Source organism: Homo sapiens, chromosome 3 (genome assembly GCF_000001405.40).
Source record: "Homo sapiens chromosome 3, GRCh38.p14 Primary Assembly".
Classification (NCBI taxonomy): domain Eukaryota; kingdom Metazoa; phylum Chordata; class Mammalia; order Primates; family Hominidae; genus Homo; species Homo sapiens.
In genome coordinates, this window is record NC_000003.12 from 100,777,603 (window position 1) to 100,785,959 (window position 8,357).

General features: G+C 38.8%; 1 protein-coding gene across 56 annotated transcripts in view; it reads right to left on the minus strand.

Moving 5' to 3' along the window:
* ABI3BP (ABI family member 3 binding protein) overlaps window positions 1–8,357 on the minus strand; it is a 244,266-nt gene that overhangs the window by 28,447 nt on the left and 207,462 nt on the right. For all 56 annotated transcript variants that reach the window (XM_006713572.4, NM_001377332.1, XM_047447926.1 and 53 more), the window contains 2 exons: window positions 2,530–2,607; window positions 682–774 (listed from right to left, as the gene is read on the minus strand). In XM_006713572.4, coding sequence (XP_006713635.1) covers window positions 682–774; window positions 2,530–2,607 — 171 coding nt within the window. The remainder of the gene's footprint in view (window positions 1–681; window positions 775–2,529; window positions 2,608–8,357) is intronic.

The following is an 8,357-nucleotide window of genomic DNA, read 5'->3' on the forward strand; positions in this document are numbered from 1 at the left end:
AGAACAGAGAAGCAGTGCCAAGACTACCTTGAGGAGTCAGGGGAGGTTTTTAAAGAAAAGGATGAAGTCTGAGTATCCCAAGCCAAGCCTGGAAAGGGTCATTCTATAGGGAGGAGGAATGTGTGTGCCCAGGCATGGAGGTAAGAGGCAGCTTGCCTCCAAAACATACTCCTGTACTGTTGCACAGGCTAGGCCTTTCCGTCACCCTGAATATTTTAGTCCCAGATCTTCCCCTGAGCACCATAATACCAGGCCTGGCATGAAGGCTGTTGGATAGGAGAGCTTTCAGTGGGACATATAGAATTTTATTTCAGGAGACAGAATGATAAGTCAATGACAAGTCATCACATCTATTATTCCTGGGGCCTTGGCAATGTACAGCATCTTGTCCAAAATAATCCATTTGTTGAAGGGTCTGAGTCAGCTTCAATCTAGGCTCCAAGCACTCAGACATCTAAGAAGCAAACTTGCCTAGATGCAGAGGCATGGTTTCCTTCTTTCAGTCCAAGAATCAGGTTGTAAGTCCTGAAAGCCATCATTTACAGTGTCTAGTCTTCAGGGCCAACACAAACGTGTCACACACATCAATAGTGTGCCTGTTGCTAGCACGCCAAGAAGAGCTTATGTTGGCTAGTAAAACCGAAATCATGGCGGGAAAAGGAAGGTACATGACTAACGTACCTGCACTTCCTGGCTTTCCAGTGACATTATTTGGTGGTAAAGGTTTTCTTCGTGGGTGTGTAGGTCTGGGTGGCAAGGGTGGGCGGCGAGTCCCTGGGATTGTGGATAAGAGATTGTATTTTAGATAAAGCCATCATAAAGATTCATTATCGAAAAAAACAGGGTTTTTAAAAATAAAAAATAATGTTTGATAATTAGCAGTTGGATGACAGAGAATAGATTCTACAGAAAAGTGCACACAAATATATTCAGATATTCCTATAAATAAATGTTGGTAATGTCCCCAGGGACAACAACGCACTGTAGTATATAGAAAACATGTCCTCATTATAGATGAATATACAGTCGGGCCCTTCATATCTGTGGGTTCCCCATCAGTTAATTCAAACAACTGTGGATGGAAAATTTTTTTAAAAACCACAATAAAAATAACAATACAACAACAGCAAAACACAAAATGTAACAATTATTTATATTGCATTAGGTATTATAATGGAAGATTTAAGTATATGGGAAGATGTGCATGGGTTATATGCAAACACTATATGATTTTATATAAGGGATTTGAGCATCCTCAGATTTTAGTATCTGAGGAAAATCCTGGGACCAATCCCCCATAGATACCAAGAGATGACTGTACACAGGTATATCTACTTTTTGAAAGGCTATAAACACGCATAGAATTTAACATCTTTCATTTTCCATGTAGACTTAACAGAAGCACTTCTGAACTTCATTATCCCCAGCTGCCTTTTATTTTGAGCCTACAATTTCTTATACCATTTTAGTTTTAAATTGTTAAAGCATAAAATTTCTCCTTTTGTGGGTGTTTTGATCCATTCTCAGCTCTATTATGTAATTATAATTAAAACCCTTTAGAACTTCTCAAAGACTACATCGAGGTAACCCTGATAGCTGAAACAAGTCTGTATCTGTAGGGAGCAGGCTCACTGTGAACAGTTGTGGTAGTTGTGTACCACACAAAGACACTTGGCCCAGGAGGTGTAAGTGGGGGACAAAGCTTAGCACCTGCTCTGCTCATCCACTTATGAGCTCTCATGCAAGGCACCAGACAAGAGGAAGGGCTTTGTTTTTCTCATTGTCTGCCTAAAGGGTGGGGTAAACAGGCACCTTTTTATAATTTGCAGAAAGGTTGGTGAGGTCAAAGGTGCTTGGAGAAGTCTGCTTTAACCCACATTTTAAGTCTTGTGCTATAGTTAAACAATTTATATCTTTTTTTGGCATAACATATGTTGGTTTTAAAATCTTCAAGAAAAATTGTTAATCCAGGAAAATGCCTGGTATACTAGTAAGAGAAAGACTCTCTCTCTCTCTCTCTCTCTCTCTCTATGTGTTCAGGAGTGTACTGGTAGTTGACATTAATAAAAGTCTTTATTCAATCCAAAGGTATTCTGAGTCACCAGATTCATACTTTTGGCCTATTACATAGATCATACTCTTAAATCAGGAACATAAGTAATATCAGGCAAAAAAAAATTGTAATAAATTACACAAGAGCAGAACTTAAAACATGATAAAAACTAGAAACCACAGTGATTCTGCAGCATTTGTCCATTATGGTCCCTCAGAACATTATAGCAAGTAATGATTAAGTTAGTATCACATCAGAAGTTCCTATTAATACTTAATTTGTGCACAGAGCACTTTTAATTCCTCCAAAGATAATATTCCAAATGTTTTCCTAGCAATACCCATGCACTGTGTGTGTGGTTCTGATACTTCGGGGGCTGTGTGGATGTTGCTGTTTTTGCCACCAGGAATGATACTGCAGTTACCATCCAAGTTTCAGAGCTGAGCTGTCATAAAAGTCAGCATGTTATTACTTACCTGGCTTTTTAGTGGGGTGGGTAGAGTCCACTGATACATTTCTATCAGCACCTGATGGCCTGGGTGCTTGCTTGACCCCTATGAGCAGAGATAATGAAAGGGAATAAACATATAGCAAAAATGTTCCATGGAAACTTGGTAGAGTTGCCAGTAATAACGTACATTCTTTGCAGAGCAGGAGCATTGGTGTTTTTATGCCAAGACATTTTACGGGCTTCTACTATCTGGCTATAGAAAAAAATAAAAACCCTACATTCACTAGTTGTGATGTTTTCTCTGTAGAATTAGCATTTCATGGTAAATTGTGGTTTTGTCCAAATCTTTCATGAAACTCATCCTGCACTGCCTTACTGGGTGGTATTGCCTCACCAGGTGGGATTTCATTTATGGTAACTGGCCACCTTTTGCCAATATTCATCAGTACATTTTGTAATTCAAAAAAAATTTTTTTCTTCCAATCCCTCTATGCCCATTAAAAAAAACCCACACACATACACCTTAGAATTCCAATGTGTTTGGGTTTATACTTAATGAATTGACTTTAAAATTATTCCTGGAGTGGCATTGGCTATGAGGCTATTGAGACCACAAATGATCTTTTGGGATTTGTAAATTAGCCCTGGGCAGGCCTCTAACTCAAAATTACTGTTTGAAAGAAACTGATTTGAAAATTACTTTGTGTGATATTTTGTCTCCTAAGCCCCTCAATAATCTTGTGGTTATTACTAGCCATTTGCCTAAATACTCAGGCTTGGACTTTGGGTAGCAATCCCAAAGGGAACTAATTAGGTTTTTGTCGTATTTTAAAAATTATTCTTTGATATTATAAAATAATCTTCCTTGGTTTGGGTGACAGTCTTCATTATAAAAGAATAGAAACAGACATTTTTAGAATTTAAACAATAAAAATCACTTCAGAAATAATGACCTGTCCTAAAAAAGAATTCATACTACTTTGAGGACCTGACTGTAATTTACATATTAAGAATAGGAATGAAATATTTACATTAATATACTAGTTAGTACATTAACAATGACAACAACCCTGTTTTGAGGACTCACTGTGTTCCAGAAACTGTTTGGGGACATTATATACTTGATCTCATTTAATGTGTGGGCAGATATATTAAATATACAACAGAAGCTTTGCCTCCCAAAAATATGATGACATTTTCACATTAATTTATGACATTCAGGGGATGAACCTAATATTGCAATCCCACATCCTCTGCTGCTTGAGTAAGAGATAAAATACATAAAATCATGGAGAAAATTACATATGGAATCATGAATTAAACTTATTTGTGATAGGAAAAAAATGTTTCTGGGGGCAATGACTTTTGTGACTAATCTCATAGGCAGGCCACAGGCAAATGGTTCATTAGTCTTCCTCCTGTGTCTCACTGTCAGGGGTAGTGGGGAAGGGAAATGGCTCATTTGAGTGGTTACTCTGTGAACAGCATAGGGAATTGAAGAATACCTGCATGGGGGTCACTGGGGTAACTTGGCTTGCCGAGGTTTGGTTTACCACGATTTCTCCAGGGTAACACAAAGTTTTATATACCCTAGAAGGCTAGTAGGCTGTCTTGAGTAGACCCTTCTTTACAGCCCTTTTCCAAATCTTCCTGCCCTTGAAAAACAAAGTATCTTGATCCAATACTGTGCAAGTGCCTTACATATTCATGACTTGACTTAATCCTTACAACCGTCTGTGTGTGGAATATAATCCACATCCCACAGATGAGAAAATCCAAGGCAAGGGGAGATTAAGCAATTTGCCCAAGGTCTCACAGCTAGGAAGCAGTGGGATTCAGGCCTACATATGCCAGGATCCAAAGCCTATCTCTTCAGCACTAAGATGCAAAGAACAGAGTACTTACTGTCATCTGATCATTTTCTTCCTGCTATTCCTCATAGTAACTCTGAGTGAATACATTCCCAGAGCCCTCTACTCTGTCTCTTGGGTGGCTTGAGCTGCCACCACTGTGTGAGGGCTAAATGGCCATAGCTGGCAAGCATGTGTTATCCAGCCATGCCACGGGTGTGTGGGACTCAGAAGGTAGTCCAAGGCTGCCAGCAGTCACTGACCAGGCATATGCAAGTCCACCAAGTCACAGGGGCTGGTAGGTTAGAAATCTAGGAGCTCTGAAGAGAATCCAAATTTTGCAGAGTTACATTATACGTAAGACCAAAGATACAAATTCCCTTGCCCTCTTTTTTTTTTATCCAGGGAGAAACTGGAAGAAATGAGCCATTTTCTATGTAGGTGGAGACAGAGGCATCATATTCTTATGATCCTTAGACATAAGTTCCCAAATCAAATAGAGAAGCAGCTGCAAAACTGGACTTTCTCCAGCCTTTAGAAATGGATAGAAGCCAGTGGTGCCTGAAAGCATTGGGAAGGGCCATGCAAAAGGCAGCTGTGTGGCTCGGTGGAAAGATCTGGGGGCAGGAGACTGAGCTCTTATTCTGGACTTGCTCTCCTGCACCTAGCTGCTGTTGAGGCATTTCACCCGGGCCAGAACTGGAGAGACTAGTGAACATCTCTTGCCTTGAGTCAGAGGAGAGCAAATGAAGGTCAAAGGTAGCAGAGAGGGAATGGGAAGAGAAAGGAGAAAATCAGTAAGAGAAAGGAGAAAATCAGTAAGAGAAAGGAGAAAATCAGTAAGAGATACTGTAAAGAACAAATTCTCAGGAATTGGCACCCAATTAGACAGTCTGGCCCAAGCTGTGACCTGACTTCTTTTTCCCTCAGGCAGGATTAACCAACACATCTTCTAAAGGGCAGAGTCAGCTCTGTAAGCATCAAGACTTGAGCCTCAGAATGAGCCCCCAACTGCCATAAAAGAGTCCTACAAAAATCTCTGGATTTACATAGTTCACCCCTCAGCAATTTATCATCCAAAATGAAGTAACAATTTGGGTATTTTTAACCATGGTAACAAAAACTTTGCAAACAAACAGTAAACTGGAAATCGGTTCTTAAATGTACCAGTGACTTCATTCCCTGTGATCAAAAAGGGGTGATATTTATGGATGATTGGTTTCTGCACTCTTGTCCCAAATCTCAGCACCTGGTTAAAAAGCCACGGGCAGGGAGCCAGCAGGCTGGAAGATTTAGTTACAGCCCAGAAAAACACATTCCTCAGCCTGAGGGGACTGGATTATCGTGCAGCACACTCATGTGGGGGCAGTAAATTGTGGTTCCCTCATTAGGGTGTAGAGAAAGGAGTCTAGGGTTCAGGTATTTAACAATATCTGCCAAATCATATGTGCCAAGGTGGTTTCAGAATTACACTTTGCCTAGTACATAATGGGCTTTCAATAAATGTTGGTTGAATGAAAAAAATAGCTGCACAACTTCCCTCAGGGAGAAAGTCAGAGAGATTGTCTAGCACTGGGATTGGCAAACTTTTTCTATACTTGCTTTCACAGCACAATGGCAGAATTAAATATCTGTGAAAGAGACTGTTTTGCCCACAGAGTTGAAAACATTTATCCTTTACAGAAACAGTCTGCCAACCCCATGCTAGACAATAAATATTTTCACCTTTGTGGGCCATACTGTCTCTGCCACAACGATTCAACTCTGCCATAGTACTGTATAAGTACCTTTGTACACAGTACACATTGTACATAGCACAATGTGAAACGTAGATGTGTTTCCAATAAAACTTTATTTACAGAAACAGGCAGTGAGCCAGATTTGGCCTGTGGGGCTGTAGTTTGCACAATCCCTTGGCCTGGTGTGTGCATGGCTTGTAGCATCTCTGTAGGCAGGTCTCAAGGAGATTTTAATAGGTAGGACACATCAGCTAAGCTGGGACACGTCTCTGGAAACCATGGAAAAGCAGAATGCTAGAAAAATGACCCACTTTAGACCTCAACCTCTGCAGGCTACTTTCTAACCTTGGGGTACAGCAATGTCTATCTACACATACATGCATAAAATACACATACATCAGGGAAAATATCTAAAATGAGTGAAATAACATATAAAATACTGAGCTCAAGATATTCCTGGGGCTTACGGAATCACAAGATTTTTATAGAGACCTCAACAGTCAAAGGTCTGTAGTCCTTAGGCCTCAGAATCTGTTTTTCCTTTTTTAAGTCTTCCAAGGGCACAACCTTAGGTGGTCTAAGACTGTAAAGAACATGTCCTATAGGAACTACAAATTAAAACCACAATGAGATACCACCTTTCTCCTGCAAGAATGGCCATTATCAAAAGTCAAAAAACAATAGATGAGATGGCGTGGATGTAGGGAAAAGGGGCCACTTATACATCGCTGGTGGGAATGTAAATTAGTACAACCTCTACAGAAAAGAGTTTGGAGATTCCTTAAAGAACTAATAGTAGAACTACCATTCAACCCAGCAATACTACTACTGGGTATCTACTTAGAGGAAAATAAGTCATTATATGAAAAATATACATGCACATGTATGTTTATTGCAGCACAATTCACAATTGCAAAGATATGGAACCAACTTAAGTGACCATTGACTAATAAGTAGATAAAGAAAATGTCTGGTATATATACACCATGGAATACTACTCAGTGATAAAAAAGGAACATGATAACGTCTTTTGCAGCAATTTGGATGGATCTAGAGACCATTATTCTAAGTGAAGTAACTCAGGAGTGGAAAACCAAAAACTATATGTTCTTACTTAAAAGTGGGAGGTAAGCTGTAAGTACACAAAGGCATACAGAGTGATATACCGAACTTTAGAGACCCAGAAGGGGGAGGGTGAGAGGAAGCTAGGGATAAAAAACTACAACTTATTAGGTACAGTGTACACTACTCAGGTAATGAGTGCACTAAAATCTCAAATTCAACACTATATAATTCATCCATGTAACAAAAAACCATTCATGTTTATCCATGTAACAACAAAACCCAAAAACCATTGAAATAAAAATTTTAAAAAATAAAATTAAAAAGAATATGTCCTATAGATCACAAACACTTCCTTTATTAACTAATTTTTTAAAATGTGAAATATCTGAGTTGAAAACTTCAGCAAGAAAAACTATAGGAAAATGTGAGATGGATAATAAAGATAAATATTCTGAGTAAGATGTCAAAGCTGAACATGAAACCATTTAACACAAAAATGATGCATTAGAAGAGTCAACAGAGGCTGAAAGTGTGGATGAGACAGTAGAATTGTGTCAGAGAAGAAAAGAAACTTTTGTGAACAGCTGCATTTCTATAAAGAAGTCTGATCAAAACTATGCAGAATCAAAGGAAGGTGGACTAAGGTAAGTCTACAACCGGGAGAGGAGAGATTTTTAAACATTTTTTCCTCACCAATTTTTGAAAATAGTATTCTCTAGGCAAATATCTGAGAGCTGTTGTTTTCCATAATAATATGCTACATAGATGATCATGTTATCTATAATTTCTGAATTTTATGCCATTTACTTCTTTTCTTGCCTACTGCATTGGCTAAACATTCACTACTATATTCAATAGAAGTGGTGAAAATAGAAATCCCTGCTGTACTCTCCATCTTAGGAGAAAAGTGTTTAGTCTTTCACCATTAAGTACAGTGTTAGTTGCAGCTTTTTCTAGTCTATTGCCTTAACCACTCGGCCACAACTACTGCTGGTGTGAATTTTGGCAGTCGTAGCTTTTTCACAGATGCCCTTTATCAGATTGAGGAAAATTCCTTTTATTCTTAATTTCCTGAGAGCTTTCATTGGGGATGAATTTAAAATTTTGTCTAGGTTGTTTTGTGCATATAATTGGATAATCATATGATTTTTCTTCTTTATTCTGTTACATGGTGAATTACACTAATTTGTTTGAGTGTT